Genomic DNA, 24,319 nt, shown 5'->3' on the forward strand with positions numbered 1-24,319 from the left:
GCTTTCTGATGGTTCAGGGTACACAAACTTTATTACAGGCACAAAATTATCAAAAATACGGTATAAAATTACCTTAAGGCTATGTATATAAGGGATGTGTGTATGTGTGTATACACACAAAAATAAATTTTGTGTTTCCACTTGGATCCCCTCCCTAAGATAACTCATTGTGTACATGCAAATATTAGAAAATGCAAAAAAAAGAAAAAAAAAGAAATCTGAAACAGTTCTAGTCTCAAGCATTTTGGATGAGGGATACCCATCCTCTATTTTATCACCATTTTCATGCTGTATTAAAATGAAATTGCCAACTCAGTTCAAAGGAATTTTTCTTCTTAGCTTTACATTGTTGATTCATGGTGGAGGCGAACAAACTATCGACTGGTGGGTTGGATACCTTGGTCCAGAGAGGTCCTTGTGACATATCTCATGGCCCATTACCTAGGTGATGTGAGTCTTGCCTTCTGCCTGCAATAAAGTTTTGTTGGAATGCAGCTATGCCCATTTACTAGTGTATTGTCCATAGCTGCTTCTCTGCTACAATGTAGATTAGCAGTTGTAACAGAGACTATATGGCCCCCCCAGGTTAAAGTATTTATTAGCTGTCCTTTTATAGAAAAAAATGTCCCACATCAGATTTATGGAAATGTCTGTTCCTTTGTTTACGTTTTGCCCATGACTTTTTAACACTTTCACAGACATTATTGTTCATTATTATATGTCAGAAATAAACTCACTTTTTGTAAACTTTCCAATGGCTGTTGAATTTTTTAATTGTTTTGAAATTGGTTTCAGAATCAAACTCTTGCCTGTAATTTAGTAAAAGCAGATAATAATTAAACCAAGTAAATGTTTCTTTCTCGGTTTCCAGATTTAACTTAGTTATATCATTTTAGGCCAGCCATTGCCAGCTGAAATGACACTTGCCCAGCTTTTAACTCTCCTATATGACCGAAAACTTCCTCAGGGTTACCGCTCAATAGATCTGACTGTTAAATTGGGATCAAGAGTTATAACAGACCCCAGTCTATCAAAAACAGATTCTTATAAAAGACTACACCCTGAAAAAGGTATGTGCATAATACTACTTTAAAAATTACAGACTGTCATACAAAGAGGCAGAGATTTCTATAGCTAATGACTTAATTGACTTGTGTTTTTATTATATCAACATAAGATATAATTTTTTTATGACTGAATTTTTGTAAATATAAAAAATGGCCATTATTTCATTTGGAAACTAAGTTGCATTATTTCTTATAACATCATTTGTTTTATGAGCGCATGTACTTTAATTTCTGATATTTCTGTGAGAGCTATGTGAATTGTCATTTTATAATAAAAGTGAGAAACTCAACTTACAACTTTGTTATAATTTATATTGAGTGGCATTTCTTGCATATAAACATGTTTTCTCATATAATTGGGATCACATATTTTTGTTTTTTACTTATATATTCCATTAATTTTTTTTGAGACAGAGTCTTTTTCTGTCTCCCAGGTCGGAGTGCAGAGGCACGATCTTAGTTCACTGCAACCTCCGCCTCCCGAGTTCAAGTGATTTTCCTGCCTCAGCCTCCCGAGAAGCTGGGATTACTGGCACCCACCACCATGCCTGGCTAATTTTTGTATTTTTTGTAGAGAGAAGGTTTCACCATGTTGGCCAAGCTACTCTGTAACTCCTGACCTCAACTTATCTGCCCGCTTCGGCCTCACAAAGTGCTGGGATATAGGCATGAGCCACCGCACCCGGCCCTTATATTCCATTAAATATTTTTGAATATCCATTTTTGAATTGGCTATTTTTTCATAAAAATGTAAGAAAATTTATTTGTTCCCCAATCATCGAAACATTGTGGTTGTTTCCAATTTTTACTCCTATAAATGCTATATAAGTAGTTTTCATAGTGTGAGTATGATATGAACTTACTTAAACTTTCCATCTTTCTCATGACTAAAATTCAGTCTTTAGTTATTGGTCTTTTGTATTCTTCAGCAAATTTTGGTACATTGTCTTTGCCCAGTTTTTCAGCACGATTATTTCTCTCTTTTGTTTTAATGTTTAAAGGGTCTGGTTACGTGACCTTTTGGTTTTCTTTGGTGAGTAATTCAGAGTTAAACTAATATGGTATAATTTTTTGTTTTAAGTAAGGGAAGTCTTTGTCATTAATTTTTCTTAATAGGATACTTTAGAGCATATTATTTGCTATGAGAACTTTGAGAACTTATTTATTTTAACATAGGATATACGTTAAAGTATGCCCTAAAGGACAGTGCTTCTCAAACTTCAGTATGCTTACAAATGACCAGCATCATACTGTTAAAATGGAGATTCTTCATTTCAAACTAGCTTGCAGGTGATGCCAATACTACTAGTCCATGAACCATTCTTCCAATAACAAGACTAAAGAAGGCAGTATCAGAAGTCATTTAAAGGTCATTGTACCGTCTAGCCATAATACAGCTATATCTAAATAAATGATGTTTTGTGCTCTTTTTTGAGTAGCAAGAAAGCAGTAATACCTGCTTTTGTAAATGAAAGAATATTATAAAAATATACCCTTTCTTACCTATTCAGTTATTTGTAATTTATTGTCTAGATCATGGAGACTTACTTGCTAGCTGTCCAGAAGATGAGGCTCTCACTCCAGGTGATGAATGCATGGATGGGATACTGGATGAATCTTTGCTTGAAACCTGTCCAATTCAGTCACCATTACAAGTTTTTGCAGGAATGGGTGGACTGGCTCTTATTGCTGAAAGACTACCCATGCTATATCCAGAAGTAATTCAACAGGTAAGATAAGATTTCCTAATCGAGTATATCATTCCATAGCTAAGCCCTTCATTCTTTTTAATGTTTGTTTTTTAATGTACTTGGATTAACTTTGTAGAAATACCCTTTGCTTTATATTTTTTGAACATTATATAACTCTTTCAATGGTCAGTCTGTACAGAGCTTCATGACCTTCAGTAGGTATGGAAGAAATGTTGAAGATCAAGCACACTTGCCAGACTTACTACACTGTTGCATTTATCTTGATTTCATGGTTGTAACACTAGCATTCTCTTTTCTATGCTGCTTTAAGTGTGATATTTATTAGAGATATTATTGGAAATAGGAGAAGTAAAATAGCAGTGTATACTGCCACCAATATATGTCTTTTTGTTTACCTTTTATTCCTGTTTCAGGTGCCATTTCCATTTTTGGTGGTTTAAAAACATGACCTATTCCCGTGTTCATTTACGAAGCTGTCAATGTCTGTGCTTTCCATGCTCTTGTATCAATCAGTAGGAAGTATGGTGCATGGAGAGTTGTAAAAACAAAACTTTGTGTTTGTTGAATGAAGTAGGGGAATTATTCTCTTTGATTTCATGTCGTGTGTGTGTGTGTGTGTGTGTGTGTGTGTGTGTGTGGTTATTTTGGTATAGTAGCTCTAGACTCTATTATAGTTTCCTGAGCTGCTGTACCAAAATACCACAAACGGGCTGGCTTAAAACAACTGAAATTTATTCTCAATAGTTGAGGAGGCTGTAAGTCTGAAATCAAGATATCAGCAGGGCCATGCTCCCTCTGAATTCAGGCTGTAGGGAAGACTCCTTCCTTGCTTCTTCCTGGCTTCTATTGGTTGCCAGTAGTTCTTGCTGTTCATTGGTTTGTAGCTGAATCACTTTAATTTCTGCCTACGTCGTCATATGGCCATCTTTCCTGTGTGTCCTTGTATCTCTTTCTCCTTATAAGGACACCAGTCATTTAATGTAGGGTCCTGCAAACCATTATCTCCTCATCTTAACTTGATTACATCTGCAAAGGCCCCATTTCCAAATAAGGTCATCTTCATAGGTGCTAGGGGTTAGGACTTGAACATATCTTGGGAGGACAAAATGCAACACACAATAATACTTATTCATGTTATTGCTTCCCTAGTATTCAAAAATATAAGATGATATAACTATGTTATAAGGTGATTGACACAGAATGAGCAAAATTTTCTTACTAGACAATGACATAATTACTCAAAAGTTTGAAGCAGAAAAGACCCCAACATTTTCAGCATTATTATTGCTCAACATAAATGATTTTTTCTAATTTAGTATTCAGTGTGGTTCACTATATTGATTAGTAACTGGAAATGGGGTCCTGGTAATACATACCTAAGAATGTGAAAGTGACTTTAGAATTGGGTACTTGGCAGAGTATGGAATAATTTTGAGTAGCATGATTTAAAAAAAAAATCTAGATTACCTTGAATAGATTGTTAGATAAAATGTGGATGATAAAGCTTCTGCCAGTGAGGGCCCAGAAGGAAGTAAGGATCATAGGGGAGAAAACCTACAGTGTCTTAGAGAATATCTGAATTGTCATAAGCAGACTTGGTAGACATACAGGTGTTTAAAGTGCTGACAAGGTGGTTTAGAAGGAAATGAGGAACATGTTACCGGAACCTGAAGGAAAAGGGATCTTTGTCATATAGAAGCAGAACTATTAACTCATTTGTGTCCTAAATATAGAAAGCAGCACTTCTGCTGTAATGAACTTGGATGTAATGAACTTACATGTAATGAACATGTAATGAACTTGGATGTTTAGCTGAGATTTCCACACAAAGTGGTGAAAGTACAACCTGTCTTTTTCTTGCTGCTTATAGTGAAATGTGCGAGGAAAGATATAAATTGAGAGAAGAACTGTTGAAAAACAAGCAATCAGTGCTTGTCAATTTGTGAAATTACCTATCCAGATCACAGAAGGTGCTAAAATTTAGATATTTGCTATCAGAAAAGCATGCTCCAAAGTATAAGCCAAGAGTGAGGCTGGACAACCTTTTGCTAGTGCCTTAGAAACATCAAAAGTCAGAGTATTCAGTCACATAGAGGGCTCTTTGAAGAGATTAGGCATGTAACTCATGGATCTCCTCAGCCGTCTAAGCATAAGCGAGGAATAGAGGATATGATGTGATGATGGAAGCATCCAAGAGCCATGGAACGTAAGTAGCCTCTGGAAGCTGGAAAAGGTGAGGAACTGTTATTTCCTAAGAGCCTCCAGAAGCAATGCATCCTTTGATTTTAGTCCCATAAGACCTGTTTTGGATTTCTGACCTCTGGAATTTTAAAATAATAAATTGTGCTGTTCTGAGCCACTGAGTTTGTGGCAATGTGTTATAGCAGCAGTAGAAAACTAATACAGAGTTTGGTCTGTAGTTGTAATGCCTTTGTCTGGTTTTGGTGTCAGGATACTACTAGCTATATGGGATGGGTTGAGAATTTCTAATATATCAAATTAAGGATACTGTTAGGTGTGTTTAATAAGAGACACTGTCTGGGCATGGTGTAATCCTAGCCTGTAATCCTGTAATCACACTTGTAATCCCAGCACTTTGGGAGGCCAAGGCAGGAGGGTCACCTGAGGTCAGCAGTTCGAGATCAGCCTGGCCAACATGGTGAAACCCCGTCTCTACTAAAAATACAAAAATTAGCCCGGTGTGGTAGTGGGTGCCTGTTATCCCAGCCGTTCAGGAGGCTGAGGCAAGAGAATTGCTTGAACCCGGGAGGTGGAGGTTGCAGTGAGCCGAGATGGCTTCATTGCACTCAAGCTTGGGTGACAAGAGTGAAATTCCATCTCAAAAAAAAAAAAAAAAAGAGACACTGCAGATTGCAACAGTAGTGAACTGGAAGATGTATCAAAAGAAATCATTCGGCTTGGCGCGGCAGCTAATGCCTGTAATCCCAGCACTTTGGGAGGCCGAGGCAGGCGGATCACCTGAGGTCAGGAGTTTGAGATCAGCCTGGCCAACATGGTGAAACCCCATCTCTACTAAAAGTACAAAAATTAGCTGGGCGTGGTGGTGGACGCTTGTAATCCCAGCTACTCGGGAGGCTGAGGAAGGAGAATTGCTTGAACCCAGGAGGCAGAGGCTGCAGTTAACCAAGATCGCACCACTGCACTCCAGCCTGGGTGACAGAGCAAGACTCTGTCTCAAAAAAAAAAAAAAAAAAAAAAAAAAAAATGGTTCAAATGGAAGCATAGAAAGTGTAAGGAATGAGAAGAACATAAGAGCTGTATGGACTGAAGTGAAAAATTCTAACTTACATGAATTTATAGTCCGAGAAGAAGAGTGAGTTGAAACATGGACAGAAACAGTATTGAGAAGAAGAAAAATTTCCCAAATAGATGTAAAACTTAAATCTCAATTCAACATGTAAGAAACTGTTAACTCATGCAGGATATGCATGCCTGGAACTGTCATGGTAAAAGTGGTTAAAAACAAAGACAGCTGGCCACTGCAGTGCATCTCTGAAATCCCAGCTACTCAGGAGACTGAAGCGGGAGGATTACTTGAGCCCACGGGTTCCAGACCACCTGGGCAACATAACAAGACCTCATACCCCCAAAAAAGCAAAAAAAAAAAAAAAAAAAAAAAAAAGCTAAGACAATGAGAGAATATAAAAACCAGCTATAAAGAAAATGACCTATATTTTCAAAACAGCAGCAATAACACTAACAACTGGCCTTTCAACAGAAACCATATGAGCCAGGGAATTACAACTTTATTTTATTTTATTTTTTAAATTATACTTTTAGGGTACATGTGCACAACGTGCAGGTTTGTTACACATGTATACATGTGCAATGTTGGTATGCTGCACCCATTAACTCATCATTTAACATTAGGTATGTCTCCTAATGCTATCCGTCTCCCCTCCTCCCACCCCACAACAGGCCCCGGTGTGTGATGTTCCCCTTCCCTGTGTCCATGTGTTCTCATTGTTCAATTCCCACCTATGAGTGAGAACATGCAGTGTTTGGTTTTTTCGTCCTTGCGATAGTTTGCTGAGAAAGATGGTTTCCAGCTTCATCCATGTCCCTACAAAGGACATGAACTCATCATTTTTTATGGCTGCATAGTATTCCATGGTGTATATGTCCCACATTTTCTTAATCCAGTCTATCACTGTTGGACATTTGGCTTGGTTCCAAGTCTTTGCTATTGTGAATAGTGCTGCAATAAACATACGTGTGCATGTGTCTTTATAGCAGCATGATTTATAATCCTTTGGGTATATACCCAGTAATGGGATGGCTGGGTCGAATGGTATTTCTAGTTCTAGATCCCTGAGGAATTGCTACACTGACTTCCACAATGGTTGAACTAGTTTACAGTCCCACCAACGGTGTAAAAGTGTTCCTATTTCTCCACATCCTCTCCAGCACCTGTTGTTTCCTGACTTTTTAATGTTCGGCATTCTAAGTGGTGTGAGATGGTATCTCATTGTGGTTTTGATTTGCATTTCTCTGATGGCCAGTGATGATGAGCATTTTTTCATGTGTCTTTTGGCTGCATAAATGTCTTCTTTTGAGAAGCATTTGTTCATATCCTTCGCCCACTTTTTGATGGGGTTGTTTGTTTTTTTCTTGTAAATTTGTTTGAGTTCATTGTAGAGTCTGGATATTAGCCCTTTGTCAGATGAGTAGATTGCAAAAATTTTGTCCTATTCTGTATGTTGCCTGTTCACTCTGATGGTAGTTTGTTTTGCTGTGCAGAAGCTCTTTAGCTTAATTAGATCCCATTTGTCAATTTTGGCTTTTGTTGCCATTGCTTTTGGTGTTTTAGACATGACGTCCTTGCCCATGCCTATGTCCTGAATGGTATTGCCTAGGTTTTCTTCTAGGGTTTTTATGGTTTTAGGTCTAACATTTAAGTCTTTGATGCATCTTGAATTAATTTTTGTATAAGGTGTAAAGAAGGCATCCAGTTTCAGCTTTCTACATATGGCTAGCCAGTTTCCCAGCACCATTTATTAAATAGGGAATCCTTTCCCCATTTCTTGTTTTTCTCAGGTTTGTCAAAGATCAGATGGTTGTAGATATGTGGCATTATTTCTGAGGGCTCTGTTCTGTTCCATTGGTCTGTATGTCTGTTTTGGTACCAGTACCATGCTGTTTTGGTTACTGTAGCCTTGTAGTATAGTTTGAAGTCAGGTAGCGTGATGTCTCCAGCTTTGTTCTTTTGACTTAGGATTGACTTGGCAATGCGGGCTCTTTTTTGGTTCCATATGAGCTTGATGGGGATGACATTGAATCTATAAATTACCTTGGGTAGTATAGCCATTTTCATGATATTCATTCTTCCTACCCATGAGCATGGAATGTTCTTCCATTTGTTTGTATCCTCTTTTATTTCATCGAGCAGTGATTTGTAGTTCTCCTTGAAGGGGTCCTTCACATCCCTTGTAAGTTGGACTCCTAGGTATTTTATTCTCTTTGAAGCAATTGTGAATGGGAGTTCACTCATGATTTGGCTCTCTGTTTGTCTGTTACTGGTGTATAAGAATGCGTGTGATTTTTACACATTGATTTTGTATCCTGAGACTGCTGAAGTTGCCTATCAGCTTAAGGAGATTTTGGGCTGAGACGATGGGGTTTTCTAGATATACAATCTGTAACACCCCATTGTCAACATTAGACAGATCAACGAGACAGAAAGTTAACAAGGATATCCAGGAATTGAACTCAGCTCTGCACCAAGTGGACCTAATAGACATCAACAGAATATACATTCTTTTCAACACCACACCACACCTATTCCAAAATTGACCACATAGTTGGAAGTAAAGCACTCCTCAGCAAATGTAAAAGAAGAGAAATAATAACAAACTGTCTCTCAGACCACAGTGCAATCAAACTAGAACTCAGGATTAAGAAACTCACTACAATTTCAAAATGCTAGAAGACAACAAGCAACAAAATAAGCAAAAAAATCTGTCATCCTAGAATTTTATACTCATTGGAGAAAATTTTCTACAATTCTTCACCCACCTCGCCCATCGCCTCTCAAAAATCAGTGATGGCAGAATAAAAAGTATGGGATTAACTCTGTTGTCTCTATATAGTTAAAAGCTCTAGGCAAAATATATTTTAAAACAATTATTTAGGCCGGGCGCAGTGGCTCAAGCCTGCAATCCCAGCACTTTGGGAGGCCGAGGCGGGCGGATCACGAGGTCAGGAGATCGAGACCATCCTGGCTAACGTGGTGAAATCCCGTCTCTACTAAAAATACAAAAAATTAGCCGGGCGGGGTGGCAGGTGCCTGTAGTCCCAGCTACTCTGGAGGCTGAGGCAGGAGAATGGCCTGAACCCCAGAGGGCGGAGCCTGCAGTGAGCCAAGATCGCACCACTGCACTCCAGCCTGGGCGACAGCGAGACTCCGTCTCAAAAAAAAAAAAGCAAACAAAAAAAACAATTATTTAAAGGCTTTAAGAGCAACTAGAAGCAGGCAGAAATTAAAGAGGATTTTAACACAATATTAATAGAATCAATTCAGTAATATTAGCGTCTATACTGCTTTTTTCTGGGGGTATTCCTCAGTCTTTGTGGGGTGGGACAGGTAGAACTCAGACTTAAGCCACAGTCATATTGGCTGGAGTTTGATTCTTCCCTACTGGCTGGAAAATAGGAATTCAGAAAGGAGGAAGCTGAAGCTGAGGAGCTCCAAATTCTGCACATCCATAGCTTGCTCCAGAATTATTAAACATAGGCATTTTGAGAGCAGGCATGAACTAGAATGCTGAAAAAGCTGTGCAGAGATTTCAGCTGCTGTCTGTCACCGAGAGGATACAATTTACAGTTTTAGTCCTGCTCAGAGATAAAAATGTTGGCTTTTCCATTGGAATTCCAAATGGCCCATACATTAGGAATAAAGGCTACAGCCTAATAAAGATTCACTTGAGAAATAAGGGAAAAATCAAAATAGACTCTTCTAATAAATTACAAAAGCCTCTAAGTTCAGGGTGATCTCCCAATAATTTACGTATCTGCTAAACAAAACTAAACACACTGCAAGGAAGATTTTCAAATCAAGAGTTGATAGAAGATCTCATCAACAATGTACAGTGTATGGCTGGGCATGGTGGCTCATGCCAGTAATCCCAGCACTTTGGGAGGCCGAGGCAGGCAGATCACCTGAGCTCAGGAGTTCAAGACCAGCCTGGCCAACATGGTGAAACCCTGCCTCTACTAAAAAATATGATAATTAGCCAGCAGTGGTAGCACACCTCTGAAATCCCAGCTACTTGAGAGGCTGAGGCAGGAGAATCCCTTGAACCTGAGATCGTGCCCCTGCACTGCAGCCTGGGTGACAGAGTGAGACTCCATCTCTATGATTGAACAAATGAATGAATGAATGAATGAATGAATGAAAGTGTATTAAATACCCCATTTGAAAAGCAAACGTTTGTCAGAATAGAGGAAAAAGCAAAGCCCAAGTATATGCTGCCTAAAAGAGATGTGCTTGAAAGAAAAAAGCTGCTACCCCTATTTTTTAATGTATCACAAAGTTGAATTATAGACCACCTGATAAGAAATAAAGAGGATCATTAAATCACTATGAAAGTATTAATTCAGAATAAGTCATAACAATCCTAAATTTGTGTGTATTTAATAGCTTCAAAGTACATGAATCAGAAATTTATAGAACTGAAGGAAGAATTAGATAAATCTACATTTCAGTAATAGATTATAACATTTATCTCTCAGTAAATGAAACAAAGTGAGGAAGTAGGAGTTGTTGGGGGAAACGCCCAAAACTTCTAGATGGACGTAACCAATATTTATGGAACAAAGCATTTACCAACTACAGGATGTACTTCTTTCCAAAGAAAGATAGACAGTATGCTGGCCTATACAAAAAGTCTCAGTAAATTTAAAAACATTAAAATCAAACCCAGTATGTTCTGTGACCACATCAGAATTAAATTGGAAACCAATAGCGGTAAGATCTAGAAAACCTCAAATATGTGTAACCTAAGCAGTATAGTTTTTAGTAACACATGGATGAAAGAAGAAATCACAATAGATACTACAAGATATTTCAAAACGATAATGCCAACATGACATGGGATATAGCTACAGCAGTCTATAGAGAGATTTTATAGCTTTAAATGCATATAATTAAAAGAGGAGATTTATCAGTGGTGTACACTGCCACCTCAAGAAACTAGAAAAACAGGAGTACAATTAACCAAAAATCAGAAGCAAGGAATTACTACAGTAAGAGCCAGAATCAATTAAATATAAAACAAAAAAATCAAAGAGAAACAAGAAAGTCGTACATTTTGTCTTTTGAGACTTCTAGTAAAATTGATAAACTATGAAAAATTTTCAAGAAAAAGGGAAAACCACACAAATTGGACATCCACAAATGATAGCAAGCACATTATTATAATTTCTATAGAATAAAATAAGGTACTATTATAACCAACTTTATGCCAACATATTTGATACTTAGATATAATGGATAAATTCCTTGAAAAACACAACCAGAATCAGTAGAAGAAGTGCATGTATACGTTTGTATGTATACACTTATGCAGAATTGTAATCAAACATACAGAATTTTTAGTCTGTTTTCATTTTTAAGTACCATGGTTATGATTTTGAAATCACATTAATCCCATGTTTCTCCAATTTAAACTGAAACTCATTTTTTGTTCTTAAATTGGAGCATTTGACTACTTTAGAAAGTATCATGTCTTCTCAGTTTGCTGTGACATATAATGAGTATCAGAATTAAAGACATCACATGGTTGGAATATCGTAATTCCTAAAAGCCTGTGATATAAATCATATCCTGTTCATCTAATTTAAAATAATTTATTTGTGTTTTAGACATTATTCAAAGTGAGCACGTCCTTATTAGAGTCTTTTCTTTGGGAAATTGAGCTGTTTTATCCTAGTATATCAGAAATAAAATTTCTTTGTTGTTAATTGAGCAAAAAGCATGTTTTCATATACTTTTCAGTTTTGACTTTCAAAATGTGAAATAATACAAGTGAATATAATACTTTAAAAAATTAAATCCACTTAATATTAATACCCTAAAACAGTTCTGTTTGAATCGTTATACTTGTGACATTTATGTAAATATCAGTTTATATTCTACTGTTTGGTGCTTTTGCTGAACCTGTATTTTGAAATTAATCTTTGTTGATGCCTAAGCCTGTGGTGGTCTCATTTGTATAGCTCTAGCATACTTGCTGTATATTTAACTATACCTTATTGTGTGTATTAGTCTTAATGTTGACTAGCATTTTTATTTCCAGTTGTTAGCTATAATGAAAAAAGTTGTGAAGAATTGTATACATATCTAATATAAGACTTAAAAATTTGTATCTGTATAATGGGTGATGGGAAATATATGATAGTGGTTTTAATTTGCTCTTCTGATTTTCGTGAAGTTGAGGGTCTTTCACTTGTTAAAGAATTTGAATGCTATAAATTGAGAGCTCTTTGATTTTGCTGTCTTTTTGCTTTCATTGTATTTGTTTTGTTTTGTGGCATCATATGAGAATAGTCCTTTAAGAAAACAATTATGATGAGGTAAAGTTCTGCTTCTGTAACAATGTTCTATTATATAGGTACTTTTATATGAAACTATCTTCTGTGCAGCATAAAATAATAAATATAGAGGATCTTTAAAAATTTGCCTATAAAGGGTTTCAAAATGGTTTAGAAGTGAAAAGTGCCTCAAATTCCTATGTTCTTACAATTAGGCTATTTCATATTGTCATTCTGGCCTAAGCTTCAGTAGTGAAAATAAGCTGGCATCAAAATTGCACCTGTTTTATTCAGTGTACAGATGCATGTAGTGTAGCCGTAGATCAACTTAAGACTGATCTAAGCTGTAGATCAGCTTAAGACTTCTACATATATATGTAAAAGAAGGAAGAAATAGTGAACTAATCACAGAGTTACCTCACCATTCATTTAAAAATCACCCCACAGAGTTACCTATCAGTCTACTAAAGTCATACAGGAAGCTTAGGAATCATCCTGATGTTTGAAGTGAATAGTGAGATAACTCTGTGATTAGCTCACTATTCATTTAATTATATGTTTGAGTGTGGAACTTCAAATTAGTATTTAGTGAAGTGCATTATTCATGGTCAAGCAAGATAAGTAGAGTATTTCTAAATGCAATGAGAAGTTTGTAGGGCAACCATGCTCAGAATTGGAGTTTTTCTTTGAATTATTAAGATTAAATTATAGACATGATGCTCCTTTATTCCTAAGTTCAGAAAACTTCTCTTGGATAACCATATACAGTTATACAAATCAGAAGTTCACACTGACTCTGTACTATAAACTGCAAATCTTATTCAGCTTTTGCCTGTCCTTCTAATGTTCTTTAGGGCCAAAGAAAAATCAATTTTCTTTTGCGTGGTTTGAGGATACTGGTAGTTCAGGATCATATATTGCATTTTGTTGTCTTGTAGTCTTGCATATGTAACAATTCTGCTATCTTTATTTATCTTTCATGGCCTTCATGGCCTTGACAGTTTTGAAGAATACATGCTAGAAATTATGTCTATATATATATATATATTTACACATGTATACATACATGTATTTTCTAGGTATGTTTGCTGATAGGACCCAGAAGCAGACTCCCCCTAGTGATATATGCATATATATCTCCCATATTGTCATTTTAAAAATTTTCTACTAAAGGAAATCAGGGCTCCTTGGAGAAATTCTAGTACTGAGGAAGAGTAGGTAGAACATGAGCCTAGAATGTTTTGCTGTGCTAGAAAGCAAGGAAGTGCTCAAAGAACGATGGGGGACAAGTTATAAGGAAGTAGGATCCTGCTTTAATGGCGTCTCAGAGACAAAATCTTATTCCCCTCAGGCATCAAAATTAATAATGATAGTAACAGTGTAATAAAGTTAGAATCTATACTGATAAAAATTAATGGATAAGAAGAGAATATTTTTCCTTATAGCTTGGTGCCAACTAATAAATGTAGAAAGAATGACAGAATTAGAAAGTTCTCCTTTTCTTAACCACTTTAGTAATAATTGTTTCAGGCACAATTATAAAAATGCTAAGACTGATCAAAAGTTTGGTGAGAAATAAGATGTTTAAATAGTCTCAAGAATCTGCATATAGATACTTAACTAATTATAAAGGTGGAATTAATAACTAATGTAGAGACACTTGGCAGACACTGCCATACTTCTGCTGTCATGTGCGTCTTGATGTTTGGAAGCTTGTTTTTATTTTTATTTATTTTTTTGAGATAGTTTTGTTGCCCAGGCTGGAGTGCGGTGGTGTGATCTTGGCTCACTGTGCCTTCCACCTCCTGGGTTCAAGTGTTTCTCCTGCCTCAGCCTCCTGAGTAGCTGGGACTACAGGTGTGCACCACCACACCTGGCTAATTTCTGTATTTTTAGTAGAGACGGTGTTTCACCGTGTTGGCCAGGCTGGTCTCGAGTTCCTGACCTCAAGTAATCCACCTGCCTCAGCCTCCCAAAGTGCTGGGATAACAGGCGTGAGCCACTGCGCCCGGCTGGAAGCTTGTTTTTTAAAGCAAGCAGCTTTATTAATCCTTATAATCCTATATTTTAAAGAGATCATTTAAAGTTAAGTCTTTACTTTGAATCTGATGTTGAAAATGTGAATGGCCAAGCCAACACTTTTCTTTTTCTTTAGGTGAGTGCTCCAGTTGTAACATCTACCACTCAGGAAAAGCCGAAGGATAGCGATCAGTTTGAATGGGTGACCATTGAACAGTCAGGGGAGTTAGTTTATGAAGCACCAGAAACTGTTGCGGCTGAACCTCCACCTATCAAGTCAGCAGTACAGACCATGTCTCCCATACCTGCCCATTCTTTGGCTGCTTTTGGATTATTTCTTCGTCTTCCGGGCTATGCGGAAGTGCTACTGAAAGAGAGAAAACATGCCCAGTGCCTTCTTCGATTGGTATTGGGAGTGACAGATGATGGAGAAGGAAGTAAGTGTTTAGTATTAAATTTATCAACACATATGTGAATAGGTTGTGTAAAGGTATCCAGATCATTGCCTATTATTCATCATTTATTTCCTTCATAGTTAAGCTGTTAGATGATTTGTAAGTGGTAGCTCACTTCCAGTATTAGTTATACATAATAAATCCTAAAGAATCTTCATTTTCATCTCTGTGTTCATTCAAAAATTATTTTCCTTGTGCTGACAAAACTGTTGGGCATCACTGGGGGGATGTAAACATGAAGCAGTTATTTAGAGCTACCCCCAAGTAGCTAATGTTCTCCAGTAATAGAAACAAGGGATGTACATAAACATGTATACTTAGCAAGTTATAAAATCCCTTCAGTACTCTTGAGTGCAGTATTATGGAGAAACACACATGTGAGATTATTTCTTTACTACTCAGCAATGTGAATGAAGTGGCATGGTAGTTTTTAGTGGGGCCTTGAAGGACAGATTAGATTTAGGTTGGGATGAGTTATCTCAGAAAATAAATGGAAAGAGCAGTGTTTTGAGGTTAAAATGTATGAGAGGGGATAAGTTAGCAGATGAAAATTTGCACAAAAGGGAGCATTGTGAGCATTTTAAAAGCTAATATTGGTAACAGATCATGGAAAAAACGTACTAAAAACTTTAGATTTTATTTTGAATAGCAATAAAGGTTTATTAAAATGTGTTAAGATTAGTGATGTGTTGAATATAGTTTTTTTCAGAAAATGAATCTGGTAGCAATACTTAGATTAAAGAGAACAGAATTAGGAAAATGATGCCATAATATGTATTAATGATAACATAGAATAATAAGAGAAAGCTGTGATGATTGTTTCCATTGGGTTGGCATTGTTATTTAATAGAAAAACTGAAGAATTACAGGATAGCCTCACAAGTAGATTTTCATTTGGGTGACGTCTGCATTTTCTTTTTTCTTTCTTCTTCTTTTTTTTTTTTGCATTTTCACTTACTATTTATTCTATTAATATTTATTAGAAAATTAATATTCCTTATGTTATTTTAAAATCACATGGTTTTGATTAGGGTCGATTTCTTTCACATGCCATTTAGAAAGAATAAAATGTTAAGTTCTGTACTACAAAGTATATTTAATCTAATAAAACTATATGAATTTATGTGTAGATCTCAAAACTCTGAAGCTATCAAATATTCAAAGTAAATATTTTTTCCTTTATATTTTCCTAACAACAAAAATCCCTCATAAATGTTGGCATATAAGTGGGCCCATGTAGTTTAAACCTGTGTTATTCAGGTGTCAACTGTATTTATTTTAGTAGGTCAGGAATTTCTAATTACTTGATCTGATTTTTTTTTAAGTAGATAGAGGGGTAAGAACCATATTTTTTATTGATACATAGTAGTTGTACATATTTATGTTATACATACGATATTTTGATAAAGACATAGAATGTGTAATAAGAACCATGGTATTTCAACACTGTTACCACAGAGTGTTAAAGTAGGTGTAACCCTAAACAGAAAAGGAAAAAAAAATGGCTTTCTGTAATTTCACACTATTTTTAGTGCATATACAATGAATTTTTATTAAAAAGGATAGTTATGATATCTCTCTCTCTAATAATTGTCTCGTGTACCATCCATGTAGCATTGCTTTCTTTGCATTTAATACCCCTTCCTGGCTAGAACACAGTAGAACACTGTTGGGAAAAAAATAGTTTTACTTGTTCATTATCTGTTCTTGGTTAAAGCTACTCCCAAGAAAAGCAGTTACTTTCTTACTGTTGTAAGATACTACTAATGCTTCTTTTCTATTGTTCAGGTTTTAGTTTAAATTCTAGTTCGTAATAATTTTGACATAATCTATAGCTATGATCATACATATGTTTCCATTTTTTTGAGGTTTATGTATACCGTGTCTGACAGAGTTTTTCCTGATACTTATTCGTTATTAAATTTTAAGATATTACTGTTGTATTTGTGGTATTTGGTTTTCTAAATAATTTAGTGGTATACTTTTGTATTACAGTGTCATTATTAATTTATGACCCTGTATGTAACTTCTTATGTGTTTTTAACTGTTTTTAATCTTGAGTCCTCTTCTTTCTTCAATCTAGGTCATATTCTTCAATCTCCATCAGCCAATGTGCTTCCAACCCTTCCTTTCCACGTCCTTCGTAGCTTGTTTAGCACTACACCTTTGACAACTGATGATGGTGTACTTCTAAGGCGGATGGCATTGGAAATTGGAGCCTTACACCTCATTCTTGTCTGTCTCTCTGCTTTGAGCCACCATTCCCCACGAGTTCCAAACTCTAGCGTGAATCAAACTGAGGTAGGTTCACTTTTAATTATTTCAGTTATTAAAAAAACTAGATTTAATTAGGGAGTACAGAATAAAGTTTTTTTCTGAATTAATCTTTCAGAGACTTGGGTGTTCCATTTTCACATCTAAAAGGATATTTAAAACAGAAATTGTAAATTAATTGTTTTCTCTATTAGTCTTCTTCAGTAAACCAAAAAGAAACCTATCTACTTGAAAAGCAGAAAAGATTTAAGCGCTTAATAAGCTTTCCCATTTACCAAGATACACTGAATTTATACTGTGATCCTTCTTCCTTTCCTTTTTGAACTTTTAAGAATAATACTATAGAATGGGGGTTGTGGGTGGGGATCTAGCCAGTGCAATAAGACAGGAAATTCAAGAAAGAAAGAAAAAAATTCCTCATTATTTCAATATGATTTAATTGTATTGTAGAACATACCAGAATAGGCTAGGTGAGGTGGCTCATGCCTGTAATCCCAGCACTTTGGGAGGTTGAGGTGGGTGGATAGCCTGAGGTCAGGAGTTCGAGACTAGCCTGGCTAACATGCTGAAACCCTGTCTCTACTAAAAATGCAAAAATTTGCCGGACATGGTGGCGTGTGCCTGTAATCCCAGCTACTCGGGAGGCTGAGGCAAGAGAATCACTTGAACCCAGGAGGCGGAAGTTGCAGTGAGCCAAGATTGTGCCATTGCACTCCAGACTGGGCGACAAGAGTGAAACTGTGTCTCAAAAAGAAAAAAAAAAATACCAAAATAATTAATGGCATAAGTGAGTTTATTAATAATACATCATGGGGTCAGTCTATAAAAATTAGTTAATTTCTACATACTAGCAACAGACATAAAATGAGCTTTATAAAGATATATTTTAGAATAGTACCAAAAATAGAAAATATCTAAGAGTAAATCTGAAAAATATGTATAATACCTCTTTATGAAATTTTTGACTGGGCATGGTAGCTCATGTTTGTAATCCCAGCACTTTGGGACATAGAGGCAGGCAGATCACTTAAGGTCAGAATTTCGACACCACCCTGGCCAGCATAGTGAAACTCTATCTCTATTAAAATTACAAAAATTAGCCGGGCCTGGTGGCTCACACCTATATTCCTAGCTACTTGGGAGGCTGAGGCAGGTGAATCTGTCTGTGCTCATGTATATCTTCAGTGGGTTAGATATGATAGTGCAATAATATTATTTCTTCCCAGATCAATCCTTAAGTTTGATACAATTCCAGATTCATTTTGGAGGAAGTTTACAAGCCAATTATAAAATGTATATAAACATGCAAAGGGTCAGGAATAGCTGAGATATCCTTTTGCTATATTTATCCTAAAAAGATCTGCTCATATCTGTATTCTTTTCACTGTTTTCTCAATTCAATTTTGAGTCATTGACTTTTTAGGCTCTAAGGTGGTTTATCCCTTCTTTTCTTGATAAATATTTGAAAATTTGTATTTATTTATGTGTTTATTGATTCATTCATTCTTAAATATAAGCAGTTTCTCTCCATTTACCCCTTCCCCCAGCCCCTGGCAATTACCAGTCTGCATTCTGTCTCCATGCATTTACCTATTTTGGATATTGCATATAAATTGAATCATGTAATGTGTTGTTCCTTGCGTCTGTCTTCTTTCATTTAGTATAATGTTTTCTAGGTTTATTCGTGTAGCGTATATCAGTACTTCATTTCTTCTTATGGCTCAATAAATATCCTGTTTGTTGATCCATTCATCGGTTGGCATCTAGGCTATTTTCATCTTTTGTTTTAAATGGTGCTGCTGTAAACGTGTGTGTCTATTTCAGCACCAGTTTTTATCTGTTTTAATACTAGAAGTAGAATTGCTGGGTCATACAGAAAATCTGTGTTCAATTTTTTTGAGCAGCCACCAAACTGTTTTCCATAGTAGCTTCATCATTTTACTTTCCCAGTGATAAATATTTTTGAAGATAAGCAAAAACAAATTGTAATGGATTTTCATTTTTTGTTATTTTAAGCCACAGGTGTCAAGCTCTCATAACCCTACATCAACAGAAGAACAACAGTTATATTGGGCCAAAGGGACTGGCTTTGGAACAGGCTCTACAGCTTCTGGGTGGGATGTGGAACAAGCCTTAACTAAGCAAAGGCTGGAAGAGGAACATGTTACCTGCCTTCTGCAGGTATATTTGTAAACTTGATATTGTTCATGATAATGGCTTTTTTTTTGTATTTATTATTTTAAAATATTGATAACTAATCCAACTTTCCTCAGCTATGTTTATGCCCACTTGTGGTCCTTCTTCCCAGTGCATTCTAAGATACCACTGGATAAAGATTGTTCTTGCTTACTTGTGACTCTGTATTTCTTCCCTCTCAACTAGCTTCTTCACTGAGAGGAAAGTGGCAGGGATGAAATTATCCAGTAGCTGGAAGATGCATCTTCCTACAGGCATTTTCTTGTTTAATGTGTTGTATCTGGCCTTTTTTTTTTTTTTAAGTGTTATTTATTTATATGCATTTTGGTTGCTTACTTTTTTTTTTTTTTTTTTTTTTGAGACGGAGCTCACTCTGTGGCCCAGGCTGGAGTGCAGTGGCGTGATCTCAGCTCACTGCAACCTTCACCTCCCAGGTTCACGGTTGCTTACATTTTTTAAAATAACTTTTCAGCCGGGCGTGGTGGCTCATGCCTGTTATCCCAGCACTTTGAGAGGCTGAGGTGGGTGGATCACCTGAGGTCAGGAGTTTGAGACCAGCCTGGCAAACATGGTGAAACCTGCCTCTACTAATAAATAGAAAGATTAGCTGGGCTTGGTGGCACATGCCTGTAATCCCAGCTACTCAGGAGGCTGAGGCAGGAGAATCACTTAAACCCGGGAGGCAGAGGTCGCAGCGAGCCAAGATTGCACCATTGCACTCCAGCCTGGGCGATAAGAGTGAAACTCGGTCTCAAAAAAATGAATAGATAAATAAATAACTTTTCTAGATTCAGGCAAGTTGGACAAGAATAGAAAGTCTTTATACCACAGAAATGTATAGGGGAAATAATGAAAAGGTTAGCTTTGCTTCCTGCATCAGCTAATTGAAGTTCGTCAGTGCTTTGAATGTGTCTTCTGCAACTCTAGAATGCTCCTTCTAGTATAAAGTTCTAAGATTTTGTTACCTTCAAACTGTGAATTGAGTCTATTCAATAAAATATGTAAATAATACAGAGTTGCTACTACATTTTTTATGTTCGTAGTTGTATTGCTTTTATATGTCTAGTCATATGTAGTGTACCATCCTTTGTAAGCAACACTCTCAGACAAAACAGATCCTTCTCTTTTGAAAATTTAAACAAATAATTATTTTAAAACATAGTATAAGATACTGATTAAGTAGAAAATATGTACTCTTAGTATTCAGATTGAATTTCTAACCTACAATAAAAACTTTTGAAGTATGTGAAACTGAAATCCAAATTAATTTCAACAATTTTTAGGTTCTTGCCAGTTACATAAATCCCGTCAGTAGTGCGGTAAATGGAGAAGCTCAGTCATCTCATGAGACTAGAGGGCAGAACAGTAATGCCCTTCCTTCTGTACTTCTCGAGCTTCTCAGTCAGTCCTGCCTCATCCCAGCCATGTCATCTTATCTACGAAATGATTCAGGTAAATAATCCCTGTAAATGTGTCTGTGGATGAATAATTTTGTTTGCTTATTTTATCATTGTCTAATAGTAAGTTTCAGTTGAAATAGTTGATGGATTTATTTCCTAAAAAGTATTCTGGAAATATTTAGTTGGTTTTTGGTGCCCTTAATTTGATACTTTGTCATCACTTACCATAGAACACAGAATAATAAAAGTTTCATTATTCCTTTGTCTTTATCTGTGAAAGGTGAAAGTAAACTTTTTTTCCTTTTAATCATCTGTAACTGAAAATGATAGGACAAAGGCTAACAACTTCATGACATCATTCTGATCTGAATATGGTCAAATTTCTATGGATTTTAAATATTTTTGTCAAACACTATCGCAGACAACAGTTATTTTTGAAGAAAGGCAGATACATGAATCAAGTCCATAGGTACTTGATAAGATGATGATTAATTTCTTAAAATTCAATAATAAAAGTACTGTAGCTACTTGTTTTGCCAGTATACAACTGATTATTGATTGAATAATATAGTTTATTATTTCCTTGGTTATGGAATTATCTAAGAAATGTGTTCTTTTCCTAAGAATAGAAAGTTACATGTTCAGAAATGTATAGATATTTCCAAGAGAAACAAGCAGTTAACATCTATTTCTTTCAGCCAAAACCTTTATTATTTATTGTTTCAACTCTGTTTTACTCATATTCTTATCTCTGTCTTTATCTTCTTATGAAAATTTACATGTATATTTCATTAATTTATTAAGGAAGAATAGATAAGGGAAACAATGGAAATGAATCTTGGTAGTCTATTTTGTGGTTGGTAGCAGCTAAGTGACACAGTTGGATGTCTGGTAAAAATATTAGTATTTCAAGGGATTATTGCCCGTATTCCCCAGTATCAGGAAGATTGTTGTCCTTTAAAAATACGCTATTTCCCAGTCTGTCTCAGACTCCTTCATGGAAGTATTAGATTGATTTTTTTGTTTGTTTAGATTGACCTGTTTGATACATCAGACTGGTCTTTTTTAAAAAGTAGATGTCAAATGCATAATTTTTTTTTATTAAAATGTTTGAGACTATACATTTTAATTTTAGATTATATAGAACAATTGAATAGGGTGCGATAGGTTTCTTTTTATCTCACTTCTCTATTATTAAACTATTATTTTCTTAATCCTTATACTGTGAAGATATGACCTACCAAAAATTTTAAATTTCTGTTTTGGTCTGAAATTGACTCTCTTATAACACTGAGCTTTTATCTTTATGGTTCATTGTCAAAAAGGAAATCCAGGATTATTTACATAATATTTACAGTAATTGTTGTTCATGTAAGTGCACTTCCTGGGAAGGTGTGTATGTTAAACTGATTTTTGGTAAATGTATGGAATTGCAGAGACTTAGATATTATACCTTGGAACTGTTTTAGAAATTTAATGTGACAGATCGAAGTTTGACCTTTCTTTTATGATGTATTATTTTCCTGGAAAAAAGAAATTTCTTTCATCAGGCTTTAGATGTTCTTGAATTTGGTAACTTGTCCAGTGGTTAATTCTAATTGATATATTTGGATGTGGTAACAAATACTTATTTTGAGATAATACCTTATATTAAGATAAAATGATGTAACTTATAGTCAGTAGGTTAAACGGTAGCATGCCTCCTAAATGATATTAAATATGGATTGTTTTCAGGAAAACACAGCTTAATATAAGTATATAAGTACATATATAATTAAGTAAACATAAATATAAATATATAAATATATAATTAGTTATCAGTTTTGGTTAGAATAGTAATAATTTTTTAAGTGGCTACTATTTATTTATTTGAGACAGGGTTTCCCTCTGTCACCCATGCTGGAATGCAGTGGCACGATCTTGGCTTACTGCAACCTCCACCTCTCAGGTTCAAGCAATTCTCCTGCCTCAGCCTCCTGAGTAGGTGGGATTACAGACATACAGCAGCATGCCCGGCTAATTTTTGTATTTTTGGTAGAGATGGGGTTTCACCATGTTAGCCAGGCTGGTCTCAAATCCTGGCCCCATGTGATCTGCCCACCTTGGCCTCCAAAAGTGCTGGAATTAGAGACCTGAGCCAACACACCCTGCCTTAAGTGGCATTTAAAAACCTGAACAAATTATCTAGCCAGAGTCTTCCTTAGACTTAGTAAAATTTCTATTTTGGAAAATTAGTCTAAAGTTTATTTTCCAATTTTTTCATTTGCGTATATAGTATTATTTTTGGCAATGTGGGAGTTGAGGTAATGTGATAGGATCCACTCCACCATTTTTTACTACATTTAGTTGTCATGTCCTTTTCTTCTGTAATCTGGAAGAGTTCCTAGCCTATCTTTATCTTTCATAATACTGATATTTTTACAGAATGTAACCATTTATTTTATAGAATATTCTACAGATTGGTTTGTAAGTGTGAGAGTAGTCCTCATAATTTTGCCTGAGACATTGTATTCAAGGGATGATTTGCTTATATTGCTAGCAGATGATATAAAAAAACGCAGGCCTAACATAATAGCCTTTTCTGAGAACTTTAGTAAAATAATGCACATTTTCTTTCTATAACATGTTTTTAAATGATTGGTGAGCAAGACAAGAAAATATAGGAACACACTAGTTTATGCCTTCCTTTCAGTGCAGAGATTGGTCTGCCATTAATTTTAAATGTCAATTGTGGTTTCTTATTACTGTCCCACACCCTTTTTGCCCTTATTTTTTGGCTACAGGTATACGTTAGATACTTTGTAATCTTTAAACTTTAATGTTTAATGACTGTTAAAGATTGAGATGAATACCAGAGTCTGCTCCTCATTTTAATAAAACCTTCAAGTTCTCATATTAATGAGTTTACTATGTAGCTGGTTAGCTAAGTCTGTTTTATTTCAATAGAAGTTTAAAAACTGGCCTGAACATATTAAATGATAATACTAAGCTGACCATAAGGATCAACAATAATTGCACATAAAATTGATCTTCAGTTTTAGTTCTGAACATCTTTGCATCAAAGGTAAAAAGAGAATATTGTTAGTTGTAAAATTATTACCAGAATAGAGGGAGCATATAAGCTCCTTAGAGGAAAGGACAACCTTTTTTCCATTACTAACTTGTCACAATTCTGTAACTGAGACACCGATCCTATTCTCCAGAGGTAGGCACTGATTATGTTTAGTGATTTAATCATTAAGTATATTGTATTTAGTCATTAAATAATTGCGTAAGAACTTTTTACTTGCATGAGAGGTGGAGGTTGCAGTAAGCCAAGATCGTGCCACTGCATTCCAGCATGGGTGACAGAGGGAAACCCTGTCTCAAATAAATAAATAGTAGCCACTTAAAAAATTATTACTATTCTAACCAAAACTGATAACTAATTATATATTTATATATTTATATTTATGTTTACTTAATTATATATGTACTTATATGCTTATATTAAGCTGTGTTTTCCTGAAAACAATCCATATTTAATATCATTTAGGAGGCATGCTACCGTTTAACCTACTGACTATAAGTTACATCATTTTATCTCTACTAAAAAAAAAAAACAAACAAAAAACAAAATTAGCCAGATGTGGTGGCACATGCCT

At 35.5% G+C, this 24,319-nt stretch overlaps 1 protein-coding gene and 1 non-coding gene across 51 annotated transcripts in view; both read left to right on the forward strand.

Annotated features, from left to right (window-relative positions):
- BIRC6 (baculoviral IAP repeat containing 6) overlaps positions 1–24,319 on the forward strand; it is a 261,856-nt gene that overhangs the window by 171,732 nt on the left and 65,805 nt on the right. For all 50 annotated transcript variants that reach the window (XM_006712055.4, XM_005264451.5, XM_047445167.1 and 47 more), the window contains 6 exons: positions 897–1,070; positions 2,601–2,797; positions 14,487–14,787; positions 16,889–17,106; positions 19,096–19,260; positions 20,559–20,727. In XM_006712055.4, the coding sequence (XP_006712118.1) occupies positions 897–1,070; positions 2,601–2,797; positions 14,487–14,787; positions 16,889–17,106; positions 19,096–19,260; positions 20,559–20,727 (1,224 nt within the window). The remainder of the gene's footprint in view (positions 1–896; positions 1,071–2,600; positions 2,798–14,486; positions 14,788–16,888; positions 17,107–19,095; positions 19,261–20,558; positions 20,728–24,319) is intronic.
- Positions 3,399–3,492, forward strand: MIR558 (microRNA 558). The gene has a single exon (NR_030285.1). It is a non-coding gene; the product is annotated as a microRNA 558 (primary transcript).

The sequence above is a fragment of the Homo sapiens genome, chromosome 2, assembly GCF_000001405.40.
Source record: "Homo sapiens chromosome 2, GRCh38.p14 Primary Assembly".
Classification (NCBI taxonomy): Eukaryota; Metazoa; Chordata; class Mammalia; order Primates; family Hominidae; genus Homo; species Homo sapiens.